At 38.9% G+C, this 14,946-nt stretch overlaps 2 protein-coding genes across 56 annotated transcripts in view, besides 2 other annotated features; one reads left to right on the top strand and one right to left on the bottom strand.

Annotated features, from left to right (window-relative positions):
• The window catches only part of NCOR1 (nuclear receptor corepressor 1), a 186,378-nt gene extending 181,202 nt beyond the window's left edge, over positions 1-5,176 (top strand). For all 52 annotated transcript variants that reach the window (NM_006311.4, XM_011524086.4, NM_001439115.1 and 49 more), the window contains one exon: positions 1,850-5,176. In NM_006311.4, coding sequence (NP_006302.2) covers positions 1,850-2,037 — 188 coding nt within the window. In that variant the 3' untranslated portion in view covers positions 2,038-5,176. The remainder of the gene's footprint in view (positions 1-1,849) is intronic.
• TTC19 (tetratricopeptide repeat domain 19) overlaps positions 1-14,946 on the bottom strand; it is a 45,192-nt gene that overhangs the window by 10,683 nt on the left and 19,563 nt on the right. For 2 of the 4 annotated variants that reach the window (NM_001271420.2, NM_017775.4), the window contains exons 8-10: positions 9,162-9,316; positions 7,631-7,793; positions 4,929-6,959 (exon numbers count right to left, since the gene is read on the bottom strand). In NM_001271420.2, the coding sequence (NP_001258349.1) occupies positions 6,811-6,959; positions 7,631-7,793; positions 9,162-9,316 (467 nt within the window). In that variant the 3' untranslated portion in view covers positions 4,929-6,810. Of the gene's footprint in view, positions 1-4,928; positions 6,960-7,630; positions 7,794-9,161; positions 9,317-14,946 lie in introns of those variants that run through there. The other 2 variants (XM_017024802.3, XM_017024801.3) reach the window with 1 other exon arrangement.
• Positions 6,097-6,146: a silencer, noted in NCBI's record as "silent region_8215". NCBI's record gives its function as "represses an Ori minimal core promoter by ATAC-STARR-seq in GM12878 lymphoblastoid cells {active_cell/tissue: GM12878}" and the evidence as "EXISTENCE:reporter gene assay evidence [ECO:0000049][PMID:35858748]".
• Positions 8,911-9,111: a silencer, noted in NCBI's record as "peak2750 fragment used in MPRA reporter construct". NCBI's record gives its function as "represses an SCP1 promoter by STARR-seq MPRAs in K562 erythroleukemia cells {active_cell/tissue: K562}" and the evidence as "EXISTENCE:reporter gene assay evidence [ECO:0000049][PMID:32103011]".

Below are 14,946 nucleotides of genomic sequence, written 5' to 3'. Positions count from 1 at the left end.
GAGTCAACCAATGCACACACCCAGAATAGAAACTGAATGCACATATAACCTGAAACATTTTTAGAATGCAAAGCCTGATTACCATAAACAAAGGAAGAGCTATGAAAAAATAATCTCAACCATTCTCCTCACTTCTGTATTACACTGGTAGCGAACATTGACTATTTGCAAAGCAAATAAGGTGGTTTTAGTTCTTTTGAGAACTGTACCTGAATGTACCCATGCCACTTCTAAGAGTACTTCACCTTTCATATTGGTATTCTTAGAAAAAGTTCTTAGGGAAATACTAAGAAATCAAAATTAGAAATGAGAAGACTAGTTTAAAAAGCCATCATCTAGCTGGGCGCGGTGGCTCATGCCTGTTATCCCAGCATTTTGGGAGGCTGAGGCGGGCAGATCACTTGAGGTCAGAGGTGGGAGAATCACTTGAACCTGGGAGGCGGAAATTGCAGTGAGCTGAGATTGCGCCACTGCACTCCAGCCTGGGCAACAAAAAGAGACTCCATCTTAACAAAAACAAAAAAAGCCATCATCTGTCTGTACGTTCACTACATTTACACAAACTGATGAAAAACAATACTCCAGGATACTTATTATTTTCTATTTTGTGCCTATTTGTAAACTTAATGTATGTAATAACTATGATCACAGTAGCTTTAAAAAGCAACAGACTTTTAAAACTGGGATATTACGAATTTTAGAGTTTCAGAGAATTATAAGCCATCTTTTCCTTAGGATTAAATACAAATATGTCACTGAAAAAAATCTGAAATGTGCCCTTCCCTGTAAGATATATGTAAATTATATCAGGCTTTTGCATTATAAAACTCATGTCACATGCAAAGTGGTTGTTTTGAGTTTGAAAGCTTACAGCCCAGACCAGTGGTTGCTGCTTCTCAGATCTCTTAGGGAAGAATTAATTAGGCCATACATGAGATTTATTATTTGATTAAATGGTTATGTTTTATGTTTTTGGGTTTTTTTTTTTTTTTTTTTGGAGACGGAGTTTCGTTCTTGTTGCCCAGGCTGGAGTGCAATGGTGCTATCTTGGCTCACAGCAACCTCCGCCTCCTGGGTTCAGGCGATTCTCCTGCCTCAGCCTCCCGACTAGCTGGGATTACAGGCATGCACCACCACACCCGGCTAATTTTGTAAGATGGGGTTTCTCCATGTTGGTCAGGCTGGTCTTGAACTCCCGACCTCAGGTGATCTGCCCACCTTGGCCTCCCAAAGTGCTGGGATTACAGGCGTGAGCCACTGCGCCCAGCCTGTTTTTGCGTTTTCTTAAGCTGTAGGAGGCTTTCTGGGGACAGTTAAACATCTAGAAACTGATGAAGGGTAGCAGTGTTCATTAATTACCTCATTTCTCAATCTTGTAGACTTTAAAATCTGCCCAGTGAGATTCAGCAGATGACTTGCATCCTGCTGCCCCTCAGTCTGCAGACGTTCCTGGGTACTTGTCCATTGTCGTCTGAGAACTATACTCTTGCATTTCTCTTGAAGAGTTAAGAAAGCTCTTGCTATAACCTGACTCTGTGATTCTCCATGGAAACATCTGATATAGACTTAACTAAAAATCTAGCCTGGGCTTTCTCTTCTGGGCTCAGCAGCCCTCACTCATATGCTACTCATGTTACTCTTCTTTTTTGGACCCGCACTGACTGCTATATATCATTGGCTAGGATTTAAGTGGTGAGACTTTGGCCATTCCGTGTTGTATTCATTTTGCTTTCATGGTGTCACATGACCATTTTACAATAATCCTATTCTACTCCATCCTACAAAAGTTGGATTGGATGAAATACCAGTTATGTTCATGACAATGAAAACCTAATTTTTCTTTTGTCAGGCTCAACTCAGTTTCCTTATAACCCTCTGACTATGCGGATGCTCAGCAGTACTCCACCAACACCGATTGCATGTGCTCCCTCTGCGGTGAACCAAGCAGCTCCTCACCAACAGAACAGGATCTGGGAGCGAGAGCCTGCCCCACTGCTCTCAGCACAGTACGAGACCCTGTCGGATAGTGATGACTGAACTGCACAAAGTGAGGGGAACAGGGTGCAGGAGAGGGATCTCTAGTTTTTGTGGTTTAATTTTTAGTAGCAGGTCAAAAACCTGCCCTCCTGTGACTTATTCCCTGAGACTTTTCAGGAGAGCCAGCCCACAGATGATGAAGAAATGATGGAAGTTCATTTGGAGAGTCAAATGGGAAAAAAACAAACAAAAAACTGCCTTTGATACAGGCAATTCAGTGGACTATAATAATAGTGGAGGGTTGAGATGTAGAGTTTTTAAAAAGTGAACAGTTGCTGTTCTTACATCTGTAAAGAAAACCATAATGTCTTTAAATCACTCTTCTGTAAATAGATGACCTTTTTGCAGTGTATATCCCCTTGCTGTAGTATCTGGTGTACTTATGTTCAAATCAGCGCATCAACTTTGGGGGTGATTTTTAAAAATCTTTTTGTCTATCTATCTTTTTAACCCTAGCCTTCTAAACAACCTCATACAGCCCAGTTACATAATGTTGGCTGTCACGGGCATTGTACTTTTATCTGATATTGTTTCCTCTAAATTCAGCTTTCCAGTGATGTTTAAAATCTTGTGAAAATGTTTAGATTTTTAACACAGACCCTGTCATAAAATCTGTACATTAGGGTCAAAAGGTAAAAGTAACAAATTCTGCCATATTGTAAATTTCCAGTGCAGGCTTTAATTTTTTTTTTTCATTAGTAGCACTGAAAAAATATTACTGCATGGGTATGTTCTAGTTCAGTTTATAAAGTTTTAAAGGCTTATTTGAGGCATACCTCACTGTTACGCACACTGGTAATTTAACCATGCCCCTAAGTATTCCTTTTCTCCTGCATTTGATGCAGCCCAACAAAGCTTTTGTTTTGAAATAAATTTGACTACCCTGTCCATAGCTACAGTAGATTATTTGTGGTTTAAGGCTCCTGGTGTCTCAGGTTCCAAAGGAAAAGCTTACATATTTTTCCCTTAGTTTGAATATATGATTGGTTGGGTTAAAAGATAATGATCTGTGTAGTATTTAGATAAGCTTTATGCTGCATCCTGAAAAACTCATGGTGAACACAGTCCTTTTTCCCCATCACTATGGACCAGCATTTACTCTCACTTTGCTCCCTTGGGACAAGAGTTTACTGTTAAATGTTTTCATTTCACAGAGTCTCAAGGTGCAAATAATTTAAAAGACTGAATTCTAAACTAATTATGGTACTAGAGGGCCAGTTTTATCTTTCATTAAGAATTGCTTGCTGAATTTTAAAGTTTTTTTCATACAATTTATCATAGCATTTAAGTATCTTTCTATAACATAGATACTAACAGTTTTGGGAGAATGCCACTGGTAACTGGAAAGGGGAGAAACAGATCTCTCAGGATGATAAAAATTAGCACTTTACAGACTTTCAAGTAGACCTAAACTTTTAAACAAAAGTACTCAAGGCTTTTAAGGAAGCAGCTCTGTGATTAGCTACTGACCAAGACCCTCCTATCACTGGTGTCTAATCCCTATGTTACAGATGAAGACACAGGTTTAGTACTTTGCCCATATAGTTAAATTAGTGACAGAGATAGGCCATAAGCCCACATTTGTCTTCAGTCAAAGCTTTCACTCCTGTCCCTGTTCCACTCCTGTATACCTGAGGTCCCCAACATAAACTTTAGATCAGGCTTAGTGGTCAGCATTCCTAGTACTTGGAAAGTTGGTATTTTTTACAACAGATATATGTAAACATATAAAAATTTCAAAATGAATGAAAAACAGTGACTAAATGTTCCACTTCACAGTTTTCTGCTGAATTTTTTTTTTTCAGGTACTGGTAATATTTTAGAGTTTGTTAATAATTTATATTGCCAACCTACCATAAAAGAGATTATGATGGTATTTTTCTATGACCCTGAGGGTCTTAAGCTATTCTGAGTCAGAATACAGTTGACCCTTGAACAACACGGGTTTGAACTGTGTGGGTCCACTTATACATGGATTTTCTTCCACCTCTGCCACCCAAGATAGCAAGACCAACCCCTTCTCATCCTCAGCCTATTCAACATGAAGATGACAAGGATGAAGACCTTCATGATGATCCACTTCCACTTAATGAATAGTAAATATATTTTCTCTTCCTTATAATCTTAACAAACATTTTCTCTTCTCTAGCTTACTTTATTGTAAGAATACAGTATATAATACATATACAAAATATGTGTCAATCGACTATGTTATCCGTAAGACTTCTGGTCAGCAGTAGGCCATGAGTAGTTAAGTTTTGGAGGAGTCAAAGTTAGATGTGGATTTTTGACTACTTAGGGGGTCTATGCCCCTAACTCCTGCATTATTTGAAGGTCAACCGTATAGTTTCTGAGAACATGTCAGATCAGAGCCTAACTTCTTACTCTTGCAGTTCTACCTGAGGACCCGAAGGTGAGGTGCTGTGAACCACTCCCTCCATCCTCATCATAATGCATGTGCGTATTACTTTATTTACCATCACCTGGAGAAGAAATCTCAGAATGAGAGTTAAAATCCAATAATAGTTCTTGGTTCAAAATAAATGAAAGGACAGAATTCTCACATGGTTTACCTATGGAGGTTCACCTTATCATGATTTAAGTGGTAAGCACAGAGCAGCACTGACAACTTACTGTGGTTCACTGCAAACCAAAACATGATATTCTTTGTAGACTTAGATTTCAGTGTTCTGACACTATATCCTTACACGTGATTTTTTTAGCACCCAGAACTAAATTAAGGTCTTCCTAATACTCTTCATAAAAGTATTCTGACAGCCAGTTTTCCACTGCATGTTTATGACTGCAAATTTCATAATGCTTTTAATTTTGGTACACTGAGTGATTCTATTTTAAAAATATTTATGCCCAGAAAACTCCAGTGACCATTGGACAGTTAAAAAATTTTAATGACACGATTTTAACCAATTCACTTTTGAATTTAGACCAATCAGTAAAGGAGATCAGTCCTCCTTTTGCTTCAGTACCTTATTTTACAACAGTGTAAATGAACTGTAATGAAAACACCCACATGAAGAGACTGTCCTGAAAACTCCTAGTGTTTCCAACAACGAGACCATGAGCTGAGTCACTGTGGATGATTTAAAATTAATAAATAAATAAAACTTGGAATGAAAAACCTTTCAGTAACCCCTGCAGTTGTGAAAAGGTAAAAACATTCTCAATGCAAAAGGTGAGTGGTTGACATTAATTTTTTTAAGAAATCACCATACGTTAATACTGGTTTCTACTGAAACAGTCTGATTTATATTGTATCTTATCTCTCTGAGCTAGACTTGGTAAACGGCATTAGCTGCATGGTAAATAATATGAGATTAGACAGAAAATAGGAAGAAATTTACATCTGCAACATACAAAACTCTAGTTTTAGTCTAATCCCTGAGGATTTGGACCTCAAGGTTTCTGGTGTTTTTATTTTCTTCAGAAAGTTTTTTTTTTTTTTTTTTTTTTTTTTTTGAGAAATGCAAAGATTACTGGGATACATACAATATTGTTGTGTAGTCTCATTTATTATGAAGATTCTTCCAGTATGTACATACGAACCAAAAGTATCAGTTTATCAGTCCCACTCACATCCCACCCCCACAGGCATACCAACAGGGTCAATCTTCCTTCATGGTACCTAGAAAAACTGTCTTTTTCCTTAGGTAAATGGCTAAAAATGTATTCATGACTGCTGCAGTAAGAGCATCCACCTATGTATCTTTACATACTTTGAGACAGTGTGATAAAGCTCTTTCAGCACAGCAGTCTATTCATTCAAAGTCATCTAACCAAATACCTTCCCCCACAGCTAAGAAAGAATCCCAGTGTTTCCCTAGTTTAGAGATGAAGATACTGAAATTGCAAAAGCAAAAAGGCTAGGACTAAGATCCAGGTCAGTAGTTCAGCTATACCAGCAGTACACATTAGAATTACGAAGAGTTTTAAAATATACCTGTAGGGGCCTATTCTGACTCAGAACAGCCTGGGCTGTGTGTCCTTAAAGAGTACTTGAGATGACTCAGTTGTGTGACTAAGGCTGCAAAGGAAGTAGAGTGTTCAGATAACACAGACAAAAGGTTACATCATTCTTAGTTTTTAGTTTTATATAAACACCCCCATTTTTAGTTTTATATAACCAGATAAATATGGTTCACTTTTATTTAAATTCAAATGGGTGCTATACTGTCACGTGCCTAATCCCCACTTTACAACTTCATGCTGGATGCTGGTAGCAAACTAAGATATTTTTCTCTTTTATGTATTAAATTCCACTTGTGCTTCATGAAACAGACTATAAGAACAACAATTCACCATAATCCCCCTTTGCCATGAGGAAGGTAATTCTGGTCAGTTTGCCAGGTATTGATAAAGTAAAGTAAGAGAAGACAGGGCAGCAAATCAGCAGACCAAAAACTTATGGTAGAAATGCCAGGCTGAATCACCACACCCACAGCGCACAGGAACACCAGCCCATATGAATCTACAGTTCTACTTAGACCAGCAGGGACAGCACCAAGTCACGTGTTACAACTGAAAGCATCACTTGACGACATCCTGAAAGGTCATAATCAGTTGGGAATGAAAGTCATTTTTCCTTTAAAATACAAAAATGGCAGTGTGTACAACCCCTCCTTCACTAAGGCTAAATTGAGGAAACCTGAATATCAAAAACGACAGATTTAAGCCATTGATCGGGTGCCACAGAGACAGGAATGATAGCTATTCTTCCACATTACTAGACATTATTCTCCCTACACAAAAATGGATTTAGAGCTTGACAGAATTTGTCAAAGGTCTACTTTTCTTTGACAGCTCAGCCAACTCTTCCCTGATGTGTTGTACAGAAATTTCATCTTTTTTCAGCTTTGCTTGCTTCAGTGCTTCCTGGTAGATCTCTTTTGCTTGTGTATATCGTTCTAAAATAACCCAGAGAGAAGGGACAGTAAGAAGAAAGTGTATGTTTTCAAGGTGATTCTGAAGAGAGAGCATGAATGCAGATATAGGGCTAATTTACTGTGTGCTTATGAAGCGACAAGCTGGTGCTGCCTCATTTCATCCCCATCTGACAGGCTGGAACTCCACTGAATGCTGTGGGATTCCTAACGGCCCTTTCCAGTATATCCTGAGGACTTTGATGAGCCCAAGATTTCATGAATGGTGGTATGTGTAATACACCTGTCATCCCAGGTTTCTGAAAATGATCGGTATAGTGTGCTGACACTAAGAAATGTCTGACAAAATGATACTTCCTGTCATAAAGCTTCACCAGCACACTGTGAGAAACACATTGTAACTGAACACATTTAGAAATCTGTAAAGCACTACTGACGTAAGGTACTATCATTGCAAGGTTTTCTCCAGCTTGATGGGGTTCGACAGGCTAGTGCAGGTCTGTAGAAGTTACGTGAATTGAACACAATAGTACTTCAACCTAATCAATACCTCCTTTTTCTGCCATTCAACCAGTCTTTTAATTTACATGTTTATTCGTTGGCCCTTGCCCTCCCTACATACCACTTCACAAATCTATCAATCCAGTGACATCCCTCCCTTAAAGCAAGTCAGTTAAGTTTACATTGCTACCTACCTCTGTGCATCAAAACTGCAGCTAGATTACTGAGTACCATGTGTAGCTCAGGATGATTTATCTGTCTTGCCAGATCTGATGCCCTTTGCATATAAATATAGGCCTCATCAAAGCGGCCCTGTGCATCCAGGGTAGTAGCCAGGTCACTCATCAGCACAATGGTCTGTATGTAAAAGAAAAAACAATTTTTTCTTTAAAAACATGCCTTCACAGAACTTTAATGTGGAGTGCATCCAACTCTGAATACATAAGATTTCATCTTTCCTAGCATTCCACAAAAGATGAGGGATACCATTCTTTAACAAATTTGTGGGCATTTGTTAATCATAATCACATTGTACAGTGGACAATGTTAGTTCGACCTTTTGGGAAATAATACAAATCTGGAAATTAGGTAACAGACAGTGCTTATTAATCCAACTAATTACCCAGTTAGAAGCACCAAATGAAAAACAACAGCAAGAAGCTACACATATTATCTCCTTTAAGGCTGAGCAACTTTGAGAAGCCAGCCTCCTATGGTTTGATTGCCTCTGGAGCCCCACTGTATTATGTTGTTCCTGCTGATAACCCTGAGGCTCATCAAAAACAAGAAATACACCATCTATTTTAGGAAGATGCCCAGTAGGAGTTTTTTTAATTTGGCTACTGAAATGGAATTTCAGTATGGAAGAGGTAGACTTCCATACCTACTTCCCCACTGATGCCATGCTTTAAGCCCCCTGACTCTAGTACTTGGAGATCTGAATTCTGTACTTGCTTGTTTATTATTCCTCACTCCATTAAGGGACTCTTCATAATAAGTTATAAATCCCTTTCATGGAGATAATTCATAGCTCAACCTCCCTTTTCTTCCAAAACATATTACTCACCCTACCCATGTACCCCAGCCTTGGGACACATTCAGTTAAAATTGTTATGTCTTATATTGGCAGTAGCAAGCATTCATAGACAAAGCAATGCACTCCTTACATCTAAGAACTTACTCGGATGGAGGGGAGACCCAAAGAGATGATTTCAATTCAATGTGTTTAATGTTCTAACACAGAGCTTTACACGTTATACTTAAATTCTATAATATGCCAATGGTTTAAGTGTTTTTAATGTGGTCCCTTGCCCTTCCCTCACCTCTTGCCATTTTAACTGTGGGGCAAGGGAGGCAAGGATATTTGTGTATTAAACCGTTCCTCATAAGCTTCTAATAGGGGTATCTAGAGACCCCACTCTGAAATACTGTGCTGTGTCCATTGAAGCCTGACCAGTCCTGCTCTGTAGAAAGGTTGCTCTGTTGTGCAAACCATGGATCATGCAAAAAGTTCTGGGCAGACCTAGTAACTGATAACTAGTCTCAAATCCTTTCTGAAACAAGTAGTTGGGGTGAGGGTGCTGGTGATAAGAAAATGAGTAGACTGGGGACCAAGGAGGATCTAGGACCATCTGCTGATCCTGTTACCAATGAGTGTGACATTTCACACCCTTCAATTTTGAAGCCTTTGTTTTATATTCCCCCTTCTGTGTTTTCCTCCCTTACCTGTGGGTGTCTTTCTCCTTGTATTTCTTCAGAAATCTGCAGAGCTTTTTCATACATCCTTTGTGCCTGTGACGGCTGCTTGGAGAACAGAAGGTAGCGAGCACAGGCGTCTAAGCACATGCCCAAGAGGAGGTGGGTATTGGCTTTCTCTTCCACTAAGGAGAAAAGAGGAATCAGCAAATCTACCCAAATGGTTGTTACCAGGACCCACAAATATGTCAGCAGAATGGGACCCACATGTCACTTAGGGAACAATGTAGGTGAATTAACATCCAGTTAAATGACCTATTCCAGACTAGCTGGAATCATGGAACTTCAGCCCACATTTTAAGTAGATTAAGAGTCCGCACATCAATTAAAATGTGGAATGTTATTTTTAGTTTGAAACAAATAATATTCAGCAGAAACAAATGAAAATAAACCCAAAGAAGAATGAGTTAACAACAAAAAGTCAAGGCCAATGAAAAACCTGTATGGTATAAGAAAAACAATGCAGGAAGAAGACAGAGAACACTCAGAATCCTGAAGTGCAAAGTCACAAGCTGAATTTAAAGAATTCAACGTAAAGGCCGGGCGCGGTGGCTCACACCTGTAATCACAGCACTTTGGGAGGCCGAGGCGGGTGGATCACAAGGTCAGGAGATTGAGACCATCCTGGCTAACATGGTGAAACCCCGTCTCTACTAAAAATACAAAAAAAAAAAAAAAATTAGCCAGGCGTGGTGGCGGGTACCTGTAGTCCCAGCTACTCAGGAGGCTGAGGCAGGGGAATGGCGTGAACCCAGGAGGTGGAGCTTGCAGTGAGCCGAGATCACACCACTGCACTCCAGCCTGGGCGACAGAGCAAGACTCAGTCTCAAAAGAAAAAAAAAGAAAAAAAAGAATTTAAGGTAAAATTTAAACAAGCTAATCATTCAGAGAAGAAGAATAAAGCTTACAATGACATAGCACCTCTCAACACATTCAAGAATTGACTATACGATGTCTGAAAAAAAACAAGCTTAAAATACCTAATGCCATGTAAGAAGAATTGGAGACACAGATCTAGAGAACGGTAACCTATATCAACCTGGGTAAGACTTCTAAAAGATGATACAAATAATGTAGAAATGGTCATAAGCAAGATTATATGGAAATTCTGCCAACAACTCAGCAGGAGGTAACTGTTCACACAATAAAAGACTAGAAAAAGAGGTTACCTTAGATAATCTTAGGTTCAGTTGGGTTTATTTACCAGCAAAGCTGTCGTTCATATCAAGCCCGTTCCCTTCTATGTCTTCAGTTTTCAGAAATCTTACAAGTGGCATAGAGTTTAAGGAAGACTATGTTACTAAAATGAGACTTTTCTTTTTTAATACCTTCCCATTTAGAAAAAAAGTGCAGCTTGCTTCTATATCGCTTACCTAATTTTACATAAATATACTCTTTGAGGCTGGAGCAAATCTGATTTTCAATGTGAAAATAAACTATTAAAAGTGTTCTTGGAGTTATTTCTACAGAGAACTAACACCAGAATCGTCTGTATCATCAGACTCGTCTATTTCTGAAAAATCGGATTCATCAAATGAATCTTCAACCAACAACTATTCGAGAATGATGTTAACATCACGCGTAGGCATGCTATGTTTTCTAGGATTTGACGTCTTCAGCGATCAAGAATTACTGTATTTTGTAAATGGAAATACCACTACTAAAAACAGAATGCTATAAATAGAATGATGTCTTGTTTCCAAAGTTGATATACTAGAGCAATGTGAAAATGATAAAAGCGAGATATTTTGTGGCAACGATTTAAAAAGATGTTCAGTAGTAAAACAAAAGTACAAGAATAAAGTGACAAGCAATTCTAGTGGAAACTTGTTACCCTTGTTATCACTGAATAGTGGAGTGGAAGCAAAAGCAGTAAAACTTTTTAGAGAAAACAGTGAGGTACAATTTAGCTATAATATCTTAAAAATACATTTAAAATTCACAGCACATTCTGACCACAAGAAAAATGGAAACACTTTCTGAAAAGCAAACTTTTCTAAAGATAAATGTACTATTACTGAACTTTTAGAAAACGTAAGAAAACTTTTAGCAACTGCCAAGAGAAAATTTCATAAAGTTCCCCCAAAGAGTTCCTTTGCTAGTAATTTACTTAAACATGGTTCTTTGAAATATTAATATAAAAATTGCTAAAAGTTAGACAAGAAAAAAATCAAGTACTTTAATAACAACTGAGAAATATATTGGAATCGTTTATACAGAGCCCTTAAAGGACCATTTGAAACTGAGGCATATTTACTTCTTCAAACATAAATGATTCTCTTTCATAAATAACTTCTAGTCACAGAAAAAGATACGCTACTATACTCAGTCCATGAAGCAAACAGGATTCACTATAGAATTTTTTACTCAAAATATTACCAAATGGAATAATCAGATGTATTAAGATGACCAAACAGCATTTATTCCAGGAATAAAAGAATGGTTCAGTATATCAAACTAGGTTTACATAAATATAGACTAAAGGGAATTTGATAAAGTACTGGAGCAATTATATGCATTTGTAACAATAGCAAAAGAGCATCTCTAATTTAGGAAAACTTGAGCATAGGCCTCTAACACTCCCCTACCCCCTCACCATCAATAGCAATATAGGAAAGTCTACAAGGGTCTTTGAAACTAGAGATATTTGTTGCCCAAATTCCAAGAATATCCTGAAATTTCTGCTAAACTAAATCTCTTGTTAATCAACTGATTAGCACTTTCTGATGAGTGTTAATGGTTTTAGTGGAGGGAATAAAGCAGAATCTAACGTAACACTATAGATGAAACCCATCTGCTTCAAACACCTGGAAACCTTAGATAAACTATAACACACATCCTTTCCCTGCACAGCTGAGCTCCCAAGAGCCACAAATTAGGAGTAAGCTAAAACCCAAAGTGGAGAGTCTGTGAGTTGACACAGCAGAAGCCCGGTTTTTGTTGTAGCTTGAGTTGTCTCTGTAATCCAGGAATTAAAGCTGTTGATGTGTACTAAACAAAATGAGATCTGAAGCCAATGCATAAACCAGGATGATTACCATTAGGACCACAACCCCAGGAAAAGCATGTATGTGAAAAAAATTGCACCACTCCAGCCTACACTCCCCTTAACCCCCCGACCACAGGCACAGGGAGACAACAAGGAGCCTTGAATGGCCAAGTCTGGAATCTAAAGAGGAGAAAAATGACTACCCTGTAAATTTGATGTCTAAATTTGTAGCATCCACTTCGGCCAGGAGCTGAGTGCCTGGAAGACACAAAACTATTCTGGAATCTCACTTATAGCTAAAACCTTGCTGAAGATGAATGTATAATCCAAGATTAGTAAACATGACAATTCATCATAAATGAGAATCAGCAGACAGTAAAAAAGCAGGCCTCATCCCCCAAAATTTTAGAAAATCAGACAACTCCAGTAATTCTAACTCCTTACTTCCAGTAAGTCAAGCAGCATACACCACCTCAGAGTCTTGTACCTGTAATTGCCCTTTGTCTGTAATTTTTTTCCCTCACAAATAGCCACTTGGCCTATTCTCTCCCATTCACCAGGTTTCATACTAACAAGGCCTTCCCTACCCCCTCTATAAGACACCATACTGCCCCAACATATTCCTGGTATACATATTCCTTCATAAATATCTACATAGCACTTTGGACACACCAACTTACTGGGTAGTGCTTACTATGCGTCTTTCCCCCACCAGAAATGTAGCTCCATGAGGCGGTGACTTTGTTTTTTTGTTTTTTCTTTTTTGAGACGAAGTCTCACTCTGTCGCCCAGGCTGCAGTGCAGTTGCAAAATCTCAGCTCACTGCAACCTCCGCCTCCTGAGTTCAAGTGATTCTTCTGCCTCAGCCTCCCGAGTAGCTGGGACTACAGGTGCGCCACCACGCCCAGCTAAATTTTTTTTGTATTTTTATTAGAGACGGGGTTTCACAATATTTGCCAGGCTGGTCTTGAACTCCTGACCTCATGATCCGCCCGCCTTGGCCTCCCAAAGTGCTGGGATTACAGGCGTGAGCCACTGCGCCCAGCCAACTTTCTTTTATTTATATCTGTATCTCAGCACCTAGCAGCATATCTAGTGTGTAATGGGCACTCAGTATTTCTGACTGAATTGTTGAATGAATGAACAAATAGAAGGAATTATAAAAGGGCTAGGCGTGGTGGCTCACACCTGCAATCCTGTACTTTGGGAGGCTGAGGCAGGAGGACCACTTCAGCCCAAGAGGTCGAGACCAGCCTGGACAACATAGCGAAACCTCATCTCTACTCTCCCCCACCACCCCCCAAAAATATATATAAGCCAGACATGGTGGCACGTGCCTGTACTCCTAATTCTTCTGGAGGCTGAGGTGGGAGGATCACTTGATATCAGGAGTTTAAGGTTGCAGTGAGCTGTGATCGTGTCACTGCACTCACTTCAGCCTGGCCAACAAAGGAAGACCTTGTCTCTTGGGGGGTGGGGGGTAGTGGGGGAAATAAAGTACTGAATTAAATAGGGAAAAATTATAATGAAACTAAAAATAGTTATAATTACAGATTTAAACATTAGCACCCCATGAATCTATGAAAACCCAATATAGAGATGTCATTACAAATCAAGACATAAGAAGCACAAACTATGAAGATAAATATCAAGATTCTGTTAATATACAAATTTTTAATCTACATCAAATGCCCTAATGTGAAAAGACAAGCTACAAAGAGATACGTAACCCACAAAAATACAAAATGATCGAATACGTAAGGAACTCTTACGAATCGTTAAGAAAAAGACAACCCCTCAAAAATATAAGCAAAAGATATGAAGAAATAATTTTCAGAGCAGGTAATCTGAATAACCGATAAATACAGTAATCAGAAACACATAGTGAAGCCACAATGAAATTCCTTTTCAAACCCAGCAGATTATCAAAAAAATCTGATAACAAAGATATACAGAGAACATCATGAACACTAATATACTGCTAGTCAAAATGTAAACTGGTAAAACCACTTTGATCAGCAATTTGGTTTTTGTTGTTGTTTTTGAGACAAAGTCTTGCAGTGGCTTGATCTCAGCTCATTACAACCTCTGCCTTCCTGGGTTTAAGCGATTCGCATGCCTCAGCCTCCCAAGTAGTTGGGATTACAGGTACCCACCAGCATGCCTGGCTTTTTTTTTTTTTTTTTTAAGTAGAGATGGGGTTTCACCATATTGGCCAGGCTGGTCTCCAACTCCTGACCTCAAATGATCTGCCTGCCTCAGCCTCCCAAAATGCTGGGATTACAGGTGTGAGCCACTACACCCAGCCTGTTAAGCAATTTGGTATATGCACCCTGGCAACTCCACTTTTATGTAATATTCCAGGTGTGCACAAAGATGCAAGTCCAAGAATGTTCAGTGAAGTATGACTTTTAACAGCAAAACATATAGAATAACCCAACAGGTCCATCAATAGAACTGTGGTATATTTCTACAATGGACTACTATACCATGGTTGTAGTGAGGGAACCACACAGGGCCACCTTTAGCTTGTATCCACACTTGTGAACAGAAAAAACAGGTTCAACTTACCCCTCACCCCAGTGGATTAATTAGAGGAAGTCACCCTTTAAAGACAGACGCAACCCAGCAGACATGCAGTTTGGCAAGCAAACAGGGCCTCTGTGCTAAGAAAACTGCTTTAAATAGCAGCCCAATAAATCTCATCAACATAATATTGAGTGACAAAAGCAAACTACAAAACCAATTGTACAGTATGATACCATT

The sequence above is a fragment of the Homo sapiens genome, chromosome 17 (genome assembly GCF_000001405.40).
Source record: "Homo sapiens chromosome 17, GRCh38.p14 Primary Assembly".
Taxonomy (NCBI): domain Eukaryota; kingdom Metazoa; phylum Chordata; class Mammalia; order Primates; family Hominidae; genus Homo; species Homo sapiens.
The sequence above is the reverse complement of the archived record's forward strand: the minus strand, read 5'-3'. Positions and strand labels throughout refer to the sequence as shown.